Below are 12,878 nucleotides of genomic sequence, written 5' to 3' on the forward strand. Positions count from 1 at the left end.
GAGTTGGAAACATGTTTTTCTTGGAAGTGAATAGCTCTAGTTTTAAATGGTCTTGGTCTAACCCCTAGTGGATACTTGAGTATATTACAAAATTTTGGAACAGGATTCAATTAAAGGTGTTATATTAGTTTGCTCAAAGTAATAAGGAGCTGTGTTTTCTCATACTTTGATGGCAACCTGCAAAATCCCTCTAAAGAACTGACCTCCAGGCTTTTCCCACCTCTTGGCCATGTACCAAACCAAGATCAGACTGATACATTTAAATATTCATTTATGCATGATTTTTATTTCTTGAAAAAGTTGTAGGGTTTTATAACAGCAGCGTTTACATTAAAAATTCAGCCTCTAAGTCTGTCAATTAATTTAGACTAGGAAAGTCTGTATGCTATGCCAGAATTTAGTCCTCCACCAGCTGAACTGGCACAAAGGCAACACCAAATTTCTTTAGATACTACTCTGAGATTCTTCCATTTATGAGAAATTGTCCAATGTTGGAAAGGGATAAAAAATATCAGAATAATTTGTGCCCTATTCTAATGGGTGTTAGCCTTAGCTTCCCATAAGAGTCACTCATGGAACCTTAAAGCAATCACAAGCCACACCACTGGAGATCCTGATTCAATAGGTGGGGAGTAGTGAGGGACAGGTATTTATCTATGGTAGGAGGTCTCAATGAAGCACACACAGAGTTGAGAACCACTCCACTACTACTCTGTAGTAAAATGTAGTATTCGCCTGAAGCTGAGATCAGATGCTTTTTTGCATCATGAGTTTTTAAACATTGGGACAATTATCCCTTTAGATTCTACCTGCATTGATTTGGTATTTTTGCCAAGCTGAATCATTTGGGCACTTATAGAGGTATCTTTGGCAATCTCTTTAGGGAATCTACCAGCAGGGAAAACAATACTCATCCTGAATGGAGCTTTACCACCGTACGAAAGAAGCCTGATCCAAAGAAAGTACAGAATGGGGCAGTATGTATATGGAGACAATTACTTACTCTTCATACAGTTTTTCAAACCATGTAGTGAGATGATAATGGCCTAAAATTGTTAGGATTGAATACCCCTAAATGCCTGTCTGCCTCACTGTGTTTGTAGTATGCTTCATTTGTCATTAGTTTTGAGCTAATTAAGAAAAGTTAATAGAAGTTATTTAAGTGGCCATATTGGTATTTTTTAAGTGCATTTCACCTGGAGATACATAAGCCCAGGGAATCATAGGTATCTATTGTAATCCCAGAAGTTAGAGGACTTCTGGATGATGAATGAGAATGAATGATAGGAAGAAAGCTTAGAGACTTGCCTTGCATACAATCTTTTGTTTTCAGTAGGGGATTCAAATTAGTTCGTATTTGTTAAAGAATAAGAAAATCATGACACTTATTTTAATTTCATGTGTATAATCTATATTATTTGTTCAAAGGAGCAAGATCTTGTGCAAACCCTGAGTTGTTTGTCTATGATAATCACACCTGCATTTGCTGAAGTAAGTACAGATTAATTAGCCTTGGATATCTGTGTTAAGTAGTATAATATTTTAAATGTTTTAACTATTATTCTTTCTCAGCTTAAACAGCAGGACGAGAATAACGCTAGCAGGAATCAGGCGATTGAAGAACTCGAGAAAAGTATTGCTGTGGCTGAAGCCGCCTGTCCCGGCATCACAGATAAAATGGTGAAGAAACTAATTGAAAAATTTCAAAAGTAAGTTGGAAATGTCATTTTAAAAATTATTTTGCATTTTCTGTTGTATGTTAATTTATGATGCAATGTAATTCCTTTGATTCAACCATTCCAATTATTCCTAACAAAGTCACCTTTCAATACATAGTTGTATACTTAAAAATAGTTTTTGTCTGTTGTCTATCTTAAACATTAGCTTTTAGAATGATTATCTTTAGGCATGACAAGGTAGTTTTCCACTGCATGAAATGACCTGTTTTTCTTTCTCCACTAGTAGGATTATAGACAAAAGGTCACTGAGCATATTCTCATTTGAGCTCTTATTAATATAATTGTGGAATGCTTTCTTTCTTGCCACTACCCTCAGAATTTAACAAAACACCACTAGTTGCATAGTTTCCAGTGCTAAAGTTCCTACGTTTGATCTCCATATGAAAAGTTAAGGAAAAGGTAGAGGGACTCAATCCAGACCAAAAAAGGGCTCTTATGTTCAACTTCAGTTTCTATGTTGTCTCTTGAAATATTCATTTGATTTTGTTCGCATTCAAAAAAGTTCTTACATTTAATTTTTTAAAAAATTTTCAACAAGACTTTTGTATGCATGCACACATATACACTCCTTAGCTCAAGCAAGCTATAAGGTGATACTGATTTTAGCCTTGACCCTGCTATATCTCTTCTCAGTGCATCTTTATATTTCTTTGTGTTTGTGATGCCACTGGGATCGAGATGGAACAAACTCTGTGACCTGTGAAATCACACACTCTCAAAGATCTTTCTATCTGATAAGGCTCACTTGTACTCGCAAACCTAACCCCCTCTTAAAATCCCTTATATTTTAATGAAAACCCCCCATTTGAAAACAAATCAATCGGAAGTTGTGAAATCAGATGCAGAAGGGATTTTTTAACTTGTTTATATTTTAACATCTACATGATAAGATTCAATAGAAACAATGTATCCCTTTTGTGGAATCAGTTTCTTCATTGCAGAGTTCATACAAAGGAGAAATATAAACATGCATAGTTGTACATTGGTTTAAATTTTTTAAAAATTTTATAGGTGTTCAGCAGACGAATCCCCCTAAGAAACTTATTATTGGCTTCTGTTTCATATGGACCCAGAGAGCCCCACCAAACCTACGTCAAGATTAACAATGCTTAACCCATGAGCTCCATGTGCCTTTTGGATCTTTGCAACACTGAAGATTTGGAAGAAGCTATTAAACTATTTTGTGATGGCGTTTATCATTTTATATTTTGAAAGGATTATTTTGTAAGGAATAACTTTTAATACTATAGTTTCACCTGTATTCTAGTAAATGTTGAGACACCGTTTTGCTTTTAAGTATCCCTATTTCTTAAGTTACGAGGATGAATACCTTTCACATTTTGATCTTTAGTTGACTCTACAGTCATGAAACATACAGGTCTTTCAAAGTCATTCTCAATATTCAGCTTTTGTAAATTATCAAGCTTCAAAAAGCTTTTTTTTTTAAAAAAAAACATGCATATTCTAAAAATGACTATTGGTGGGGAGGTGTAAATAAGTCATACCTTCTTAAAACAGAAAATTTAAGTAAAGTCTTTTAAATGAAACCTGTAAAAGTATTGACTCTTCTACCAAGTTGGTATGATATTCCAGGCAGCTCAATGATTATCACATTTGAGACCCTGTGTTTGAAGCATTTACAGGCAATGTACAGCAACAGAGGTACCTCTTGGTGTATAGTATTTACATTCTCTTTTAGGTAGAAGAGGCAATTTTACCCTTATTTCACATGGTTAGAAATTTAAAGCAAGATCATTTACCCAAGGATAGGTGTTTGGTAATGTTGAAGGAGTTAGTCTGGCTTCATGTTTTACATCTTCAACTAAAATCCCATACTATCTGCTTGGATTTGGAGAGCCAAAAAATAAAGCTGATTGTCATGTGATTAAATATCTGATCAACAGGTATGAATATAACTTAAATCAGCATATTTTTGCCATGGTAATAAATTGTCCTATAAACTATTTATATATTTTTGTTCTTCATAATTATCACTAATAAGCATCAGTTTGTTGTTTTTAAAAGGATATTTAAGTGAGCATTTTCTAGTTCATATGAAAATAACCATAGTACAGGATGATTTCTGTCCACACAAAGGTTAAATTAGATTGCACAGTTAATTTTCACTTATATTTATGGTACTATTATGTGGGTGATGCCTTTTTCTTTTAAGCCCAGTACATATATTATGCCTGCCTAAGTTCTGAACTGGGGCTGTATTTCAGTAGTTGTAGAATTATTGATATTTAGTTTTGATAGCTAATGTTTAATTGTTTGGATCTGCACAGTTTGGTTTTTGCACAAAAGTCATTTAAAAAAATCTGAGTAATTGTCAAATATTAAAAGAAAGATATTCTTCCTGTAAGGAATACAGTTTTTAGTCAAAGTGGCCATTACATCCTCTTTTTAATTTACATAATACAGATACTTGAGAAAGTTGTTGTGGTGTTGTATGCCAAGAAAATTCTTTTTATTGGTGCCTATATTGTAACAATTATTTTTAATGCATTGTATTTTGAAGTAACGGTTCAGTTAAATTTTTCACCTGCTGTGTAACTGAAACACAATTACAGTTTATAATCATCTGTAGAAGTCTGGAGATAATTTTGCAACTCATGTTATGGGTTAAATGAATATTTTTGTAAAAGTAAAAGCAACAAATTTATAAATTGATTATTTGAAACTTTACAACACAATTGCATCCCAAATACAAATTGTATTGCTTATTCATTATAGCTATTCGTCCTGTAATCTGTTTCTAGGTGAAGCATACTCCAGTGTTTTAGGGGTTTTGAAAATAAATATTTAAATTTCACAGTCCTCAATGTTTGTTTTCCTTGAGTTGGGGGTGTGGTATGGGACTTCAAGGACTCCTTTGTCCTTTATTGTTCAAACACTAAAATCGAAATTTCTGTTGGAAACCAGAAGATACTTTTCACATTTCATTAAGCATTAATTATAGCTACAATGAACATCTGTCCTGATTTCTAGGCCTCCTGTCTTGACCAAATTATTAATAAAGTCCCCTTTCACTTGAAAGTGTCCTGGGTTGAACAATAAATTATATGGTCACCCTAATTATTATATTATTAAGAGATCATATACAGATATAAACTTAGTAAAGATTTTTAGAAATTGATATGAGAAATAGCATTAACATAAAGGAGTTTAAGTTTTTCCTAGAGAAGAGGTTGAGGGTGAACTTAGCATTAAGGATCTAGGGTATTAATATGTATTAATATATTAGTATATTAATTATATAATATCCTAATATTATACTATGTTATATTATTAAGCCCAGGTGATTGGGTTTCAATATATTCTTATTATTAGATAGCTACTCTAGACTTGTGAGTTACTGGATATGAGTCCAGAAGCAGACAAGAAAGTGCTAGGATGGAGGAAAGGGGTGGGATGAGGTATATTAAGAGGGATTTTTCTGATGTAAAGTTTAGGAGAGTAAGGAAGCTATTCCATTAGTTTTTTCTCCTTTAAGTTATATATAAAAATAGCTTGCCTATAGAATTGCCTCCTTTCTTTGAAGTTAGTAGTAACATTATCTTGTAAATATGTTGGACTTTAAAATCAAACAAAATAAACTTCTCAAATAGAATGCTATACCTTCTAGGAGGACCATTAGAGAAGTTCTGAATGGGTCAAAAATGGAATTTTGGTTCATTAACTCACCCTGGTATTAGTACCATCCTTCTTTGTTTCAGCTACCCTTCAATTCTACTACTTTTCCTCTCCCTGACCATACATTTTCACTTGCCTCCCTCCTTTTCCATGTTCTGTAACTGTCCCTTTCCTTAGTAATAGGCCAGAACCAATCACTTCTGAAATTGATTAAAACAAAAGGAAGAACATAGTTATAATTTATTTTTTAATTACCTGGATTTTCCATCACACTTTATTACAATAACATTCATTTCCTGGCCTGCATACATGCAAGAAGCTATGACAAAAAATAAATTCTGGCAGGAAATATTAGATAAACAAACTGACCTGATAATGTTTCTCTTTTACTAGATATAGTAGATAAGAATATAGAAGTTATAAGTAAAACAACATGATACTTTCATCTGGTTTATGTCTGGCTCTAGAAATTGATTTAATTCATGAATTTCCTAGGTTTAGAATTCTGCCAAGTCCTAGATTAATTCTAAACCTGTATTCTCTTGAGAGGATCTATGCCACCACCTCCTTCCTGAGGCTGTAGGAGGGCCATGCTCTGCTTTTATATGTTATAAAAATGGAAGTATTTAGCATATTACAAGACCATTTCTACTGGGCCCCACACAAATAGTAAAGACTGAAATATTTGTTCAGTGTTGTTTAAGAGCACAAAGATCAACACAGTCACAATCTACTAAATCACTAAATGCCATTAGACGCTAATTCCATATGCCAACCCATACTGTCACCATTCTTCAGCATTGAAGAGCCTGACCTTCACTCACAATGTCTCTATGAGGAAGTATGCAGTGGAGATGACAAATACCCACCTTGCCTTGCCACAGTGCTGGTGAGGAGAGGGCATGTTCTAAAGTCCCTTCAGAGGTAATGGAAGAGTGAAACTCAAGGAATGAGGCAACAGCTGGATCTTTCATAAGGCAGGCATCCAAAATGAGATTTCCTTAATACCAATGAATATGTAGTAACCAAGAAAATGGTTTCTACAACTTCATTATTTTCTGCCTAAGTCGGTAACATGGAACTGGCTCAGAAATGTCCATAGGTTCACACTTTTAAGCTAAAAAGTAATTACATGGTTTTAGTGAAGTCCTGTCTTCAGCAGTTGGTGTGTTGAAATAAGCATCTTCATCTTCTTCATCTAACTGTAGACTACCAGAAGACAGGCGGATTCTGGCCATGGGTGACCTTATTTCTTTGCCATACAAAGCATAGTAGTCTGGTTTAAGAATCTCTGATTCAGAATCACTGGATTCACTAGCTACATACCTTTCTGCTGTACTTTGATCCATTAGAACTGCTGGCAACTCCTGCTCTGCAAACATATCCGTAAACAGGTCTGCTTTATGACTGAGAGCAGGACAAGGCCCTAAAGGTCTAAATTCTGACCCAAAAGGAAAACGAATAGTTTTCATGTCTGATTGGCTCTGGGACCTTTTAGGGGTTTGCTCTTGAATGTTACATACAAATGCATCTTCCAAATTTGGGTCTTCCTCTTCTAGACCTACATTGATGTTGCTCCTACCGCTAGTCCTGGCTATAGCTTCTTGGAGTACTTGCAGGTCTTGCTGAAAGCTCTTCATTCTGATATTCCTTGGGCTTCTTTCAGCTGGCTTCATTGCAGTGGGCTCTACATAGCTATGTGGACTTGTCCTTTCCTCTGCTCTAATTGGGGACCATCTGGGCACCTGGGGTGGCTTGTCCACATAAAAAAAGACCTGGGGAGGCATAATACCAACCTGCTGACCTGTACAAGGAATATAGGGCACATCCGTGTAAGTTAGCTGCTTTGCTGGACGCACTTTGCTTGTGAGGCCAGAATATATGCTCATGTGATTACCAGAAAACTTACAGCTTGTTTGGAAGGAGCTTAGAGAACTCCTCTCTGAAAAAATGTCTCTGGGATCAGGGTTAGGATTGGGCTCAGTGTTAAAGACAGGGTCCATATAAATAAAAGGGAAAGAGGAACTGCTTTGGGACTGATGTAGCAATGTGGGATCCGCCTCTGGTTTGGAATGCTCCAGCTCAGTTGCAAATGTCACCTCCAATGCAGAATTCCTCCTCCTACTCTCCAGCACTGGCTCAGATGCGTGCACTCCATTCACATTTTGGTAGTAGCCACCACCATATGCTAGTCTCAAATCTTCCACCTTGAGAGAATGGACACATTGGTGAAAGAAGGAAAAGGCCATTTGGTTAGGGCTGGGGGAGGGATCTAAATTAGCCTCAAAGTTTGAAAGGTAGTTTTTCATAAAGTCATTTAACAAGATCCATGTTCTATTCTAGGGTAGATAAATATATAAAGAAAGGGTAATAACTTCTACTACATCACAGTGCATGTGTTAAAAAGTACATGTGACACTATTCTTTCTCAATGCCATCCTACTTCCAGACTCTGAGTGTATACACTACAAGCAGTTTGGTTTAATAGCTATATTAGTGAACCAGGAGTCCTGCCTGTTAGTCCTGGCTCTGTCTCTGATTTGCTGTGTGACCTTAGACAAGTCTCCTAACCTTGCTGCTCCAGCTTCCTCCCTATTTTCTGTAAAATGGTGGGAGGAGGGCTATGAATGGTATGAGAGGTTCATATACTAAATGGCTCCTTTCATCATTATGCCTCTGATGCCTTTTGGATAAAAACTGCCAGTGACTTGAAGGCATGAGGGTTTATGAGACCTATAATTATTTTTTTAGGGAGAGTAAAAGAAAAATAATTCACAATTTTCATACTAAAAATGTCAAAGGAAGCCATCATCTCACAGTTCCAAGGGAACAACACTTTGTCCTTAAGTTACAAAATTACACAGGAAAAATACTCTAAAACTTTAACCCAAGACCTTATACCTTCCTCTACACTTTAAGATTTTCATAGGTAAAAAGATGGAGCTTTCAGTTTTGAAAATTCAAAGCCATTTGGATCTGCATTTTGCAAGATGTTAGCAACACAGGTTGCAATTTGAAGATGTGCCAGTTCTCTCCAGTCTATAAGGTACACACCAGTGGTAGTTTACTAAATGATCTTCTATTGGCAGGAAAGACTGAGCTGACAGACCTCCCCAGGAAGCTAACCTACTCAAACAGAGTAACCTTTTTACACACTGGGATTCTGGCAGAATCAATTCATGGAAGCATTTGAAATTTGCACAAATTACATTTATCTAAAGAAGTAGAAATTTTCAGAAACCTTACTTGTTTTGACACATCAGAGAGGAGGTCTGGTGAGGACCTGCACTGTCGTTCATGGTACTGAGATGGGTAATGTTTCCTGAAATCCCCAAGCAGAGAAGTCATTGAAATGACCTTCATGTGAATACCAGGATACATAGAAATCTCCAAATTCAACATAAAATCAACACGAGCAAGAGAAACAAAATCATGTACCTTTCAAATGGCAAGCTCTTCAGCCTCCCTTTTCTCCCATATTCCAAAAGTTGCCTTTGGGTTCGTCCACTATCATAAGGAACAATAAAAATCCTTAGTTCTAGCCATAAACCAATAGGCTACTAAAACTTGAAAGCCTCGTTTATTGTTGAAATCAAAAGACTAGATGAATGACATATGTCATGAATCTTTGACCATCACAATGATAATACCCACTTATTCAAGGACCAGGCAGAGAACAACCTCAACTACTCAGAACGCAGGTAATTTTTAAAGGCCTCTGAACAGGGTTACATAACAGCTAAAAATTGTGGGCTTTAAAAATAATATACCTGGTCTGGGCATGGTGGCTCACACCTTAATCCCAGCCCTTTGGGAGGCTGAGGCAGGAGGATGACTCGAGCCCAGGAGTTTGAGACCAGCCTGGGCAACATAGTGAGACCTCATCTCTACAAAAATAATAAAAATTACCCGGCCATGGTAGTGCATGCCTGTAGTCCCTACCACTTGGGAGGCTGAGGTGGGAGGATTGCTTGAGCCTGGGAGGCAAGGCTGCAGTGAGCGGAGATCATGTCACTGCACTCCAGCCTGGGCAACACAGCGAGACCCTGTCTCAAATAATAATAACAATATATTTCCCTTTAAAGGCTTTTCCTCTACCTCCAAATCAGAGTCAACTGACTGATTTTCCATACTACTTTCAATGAGGTTACTTATCTGGTTTCCCAGTCCACAGCAGAAGAAAAGCAGCTAAATGAACAGTAGAAGAGGATTGTTCTAGTTAGGCATACACTAACAAAGAAAGTCAGATCACAGCCGGGAGAAACATAAAAATCAAAAAAAATCACAAGAATTAGCCAGGCACCATGGCTCACACCTGTAATTCGAGCACTTTGGGAGGCCAAGGCTGGTGGATTACAAGGTCAGGGGTCCAAGATCAGCCTGGCCAAGATGGTGAAACCCCGTCTCTACCAAAAATACAAAAATTAGCCGGGTGTGGTGGCCCGCGCCTGTAATTCCAGCTACTTGGGAGGCTAAGGCAGAGAATTGCTTGAACATGGGAGGCGGAGATTGCAGTGAGCCGAGATCGCGCCACTGCACTCCAGCCTGGGTGACAGAGCAAGACTCCATCTCAAAACAAAACAAAACAAAACAAACAACAACAACAAAAAAAAACACAAGAATAATAAAGTCTAAAGAGTCTGGATGATTTATCACCTAAGTACAGGGCCTTGACATGCATCCCCTGCCCTGAGGCCATTATTGCACTACAGCTGCCTGCAAAAGATCATATGTGATGTTTATAATAACTCAGGTCATTAAGAAAGGGGCAAAATATGCTCAGTATCATCTATTTAAGAAGGCAGGGATTCATAGAATACAGACTGGAAAGATTCAATCAGAAATATGTAAGTTTTAACAGATCTTAATTTTTACTGGGGTAGGATATCACTCTTTGGAAAAAATCCTGTATGGGGAAGCTTTTAATCAGAATTTTGTACCTAGCTAAAAGTTTTGAAAACTTCCTCCAACGGATTCCTAGGCTGACGTATTCAAGTAAAGACAAGATCTTTTTTTTTATTTTATTATTATTATACTTTAAGTTTTAGGGTACATGTGCACAACGTGCAGGTTTGTTACATATGTATGCATGTACCATGTTGGTGTGCTGCAACCATTAACTCGAAAGACAAGATCTTAACCCAACCTTGCTTCAATTCCTCCAAAGTGTGACCTGTAGTGAGGATTCTCTAGTGGCATATTGTTCAATCTTCTAAATCTCTTATCCCCTCCAGTGCTTTCTCATGCTAGCTTTTACAACCCAAAGGATGCTGTTGAGCTTTTTCTTTCCATGGTTTGCATATAAGTTAAATATAGGAGAAACAATGGGTTTATAGAACATGTATTCTCAAACTGCACACATCCGCCCATCCTTGCTGAGACTCTGATCCTACCCCTTAGGTAAGGTGCCCCCATCTTCCTCCCTCCTAGTTAGAAAACATTGACTTAATGTGTCATACAGAGAATGAGCAGGAAAGGGTGCAATCTTTGATGTGATTGAAATGGATTCTTTGTTGCTTCTAGAATGTGAACTCCTCCTAAGCCTCCTGTGTTATTGAAAAGAAGCAGTGTGAGCAGTTTGCCTATGTGCATTGTTTAATTACCTATAGCGGAAACTGGAACCCTTGCTGCAGAGTAGGGTTTTGGGCTTTGATTTGGGCTCTTCCGAAAGCCTGAAGAAAGCATGGTATTCCACACAAGTCTTCCAGAAAGCCTTGCAGGCATCTCGGCTGGCCATGGTGAACTCCAAGGTATCCTTGCACAACACCTGTATAAACCAATTTCCATTAAGTAAAACATCCTTCAAGAATATCAAAGACCTTCAAATCCCAATGCCTTCCAAACTATTGCTCCGTTGGCCCATGCAGCTTCTGATTTTCCACTTGGCTCCCTGTAGGTTTCACACCTGCTGAAACCTAATGATTGGCAACCTTGCGAGGAATAGACAGGGCCACTGCTCACAAACAGAGCCTTCTCTAAGAAGCAAATATTGCTTTGCACACTCCCCTCACCTTAAATACCTTTTTTACTCACTCTTCTCTGCCAGAAACATTTTTATGAAGTAAATTAGATTAAAATCATGTCAAAGGGCATCTTTTCAAGGTGAGAAGTTATAAATGACCAACAGGAAACAGGAGGGAGGAGAAGATTTCCTTATAGATGGAAGGGTTTATAAGATGATTACATGTACATAAGTCTGTTGTTTTCTTGAGACAAGGTGTCACTCTGTTGCCCAGGCTGAAGTGCAGTGGCATGATCATCACTCACTATAACCTCAAACTCCTGGGCTCAAGCAGTCTTCCTGACTCAGCCTCCTGAATAGCTAGAACTACAGGCATGTGCCACCATACCCGCTTAATTTCTTTGTAGTTTTTTTTGTTGAGATGGGATCTTGCTATGTTGCCCAGGTTGGTCTCAAACTCCTGAACTCAAGTGATCCTTCCACCTCAACCTCTTAAAGCACTGGGATTATGAACGCAAGCCACTACACTCAGTCCATGAGTCTTTTTAGTGTAACAGTTAGAAACACTTTTTCCTCTATAGGTTGTCTTGTACAATGCTCTATATTGCTCATCTAGCATATTCTAATCTTGGCTTTCCAGACCTAAAGTTCGAGTTTTCCCCATCTCCTGACACTATATGTACCCCTCACATGGCATGTTTGCAGCCCTGTTTTCAGCAGCCCCATCAACCCACTGCACTGACCCCACTTCTCTCATTCCTTTCCAGGTTCCTGCATGTAGCCTCTGGGGCTCTCCATGAGCTTCACACTAAGTCCAGTTTCTTGAACTGCTCAATGAACACTTTTCTATAAGGTCAAGATGCAGAGAATAAAATCCAAACTGCTGGATCTTCAGTAGGTCAAAAATTAGTTGATACACACTTTTTATTTTCTTTATGGTCATAAGAAAATTCCTTTCTAGACTAAGTGGCTCATGCCTGGTAACGTCAGCACTTTGGGAGGCCAGAGTAAGAGGATCATTTGAGGCCAGGAGTTTGAGACCAGCCTGGGCAACATAGTGAGACCTTGTCTCTACAAAATATGTTTTAAAAATTAGCGAAGTGTGGTGGCACATGCCTGTAGTCCTAGCTACTCAAAAGGCTGAGGCGGTAGGATCACTTGAGCCCAGGACGTTGAGGCTGCTCTGAGCTACATGTCACCACTCCACTTCAGTGTGGGCAACAGTGTGACCCTATCTCTAGAATAAAAAAAGAAGATCATTTCTAGCACCTTTGTCTCACCCTTTACTATGCAACCTTGCCCAAAAACTGTTTATTTTGCTTACGTGTATACCTGACTCCCACATCCTGCTTGTTTTTGGCATATACTAGGTGTTCAATAATTTTTGCTTAAGGAAAGTAATTGAAGATACTTTATAAAATGGAACAGATAACATCATATGAATGTATTCTTAGTCCTAGATCTGGTCACTCCCATTTGACTTATCAAATCCCTAAAAAGCAGTTTCCAGGGAGACTTGCCTTTCAGCCGAGCTGCCCCAT

At 37.8% G+C, this 12,878-nt stretch overlaps 2 protein-coding genes across 10 annotated transcripts in view; one reads left to right on the forward strand and one right to left on the reverse strand.

Moving 5' to 3' along the window:
- STK26 (serine/threonine kinase 26) overlaps positions 1-4,559 on the forward strand; it is a 52,642-nt gene extending 48,083 nt beyond the window's left edge. For all 5 annotated transcript variants that reach the window (NM_016542.4, NM_001042453.2, XM_047442155.1 and 2 more), the window contains 4 exons: positions 884-977; positions 1,429-1,491; positions 1,573-1,709; positions 2,751-4,559. In NM_016542.4, the coding sequence (NP_057626.2) occupies positions 884-977; positions 1,429-1,491; positions 1,573-1,709; positions 2,751-2,775 (319 nt within the window). In that variant the 3' untranslated portion in view covers positions 2,776-4,559. The remainder of the gene's footprint in view (positions 1-883; positions 978-1,428; positions 1,492-1,572; positions 1,710-2,750) is intronic.
- The window catches only part of FRMD7 (FERM domain containing 7), a 51,031-nt gene continuing 43,758 nt past the window's right edge, over positions 5,606-12,878 (reverse strand). For all 5 annotated transcript variants that reach the window (XM_017029948.3, NM_001306193.2, NM_194277.3 and 2 more), the window contains 4 exons: positions 10,979-11,142; positions 8,814-8,882; positions 8,622-8,697; positions 5,606-7,582 (listed from right to left, as the gene is read on the reverse strand). In XM_017029948.3, coding sequence (XP_016885437.1) covers positions 6,488-7,582; positions 8,622-8,697; positions 8,814-8,882; positions 10,979-11,142 — 1,404 coding nt within the window. In that variant the 3' untranslated portion in view covers positions 5,606-6,487. The remainder of the gene's footprint in view (positions 7,583-8,621; positions 8,698-8,813; positions 8,883-10,978; positions 11,143-12,878) is intronic.

This window comes from Homo sapiens, chromosome X (assembly GCF_000001405.40).
Source record: "Homo sapiens chromosome X, GRCh38.p14 Primary Assembly".
Taxonomy (NCBI): domain Eukaryota; kingdom Metazoa; phylum Chordata; class Mammalia; order Primates; family Hominidae; genus Homo; species Homo sapiens.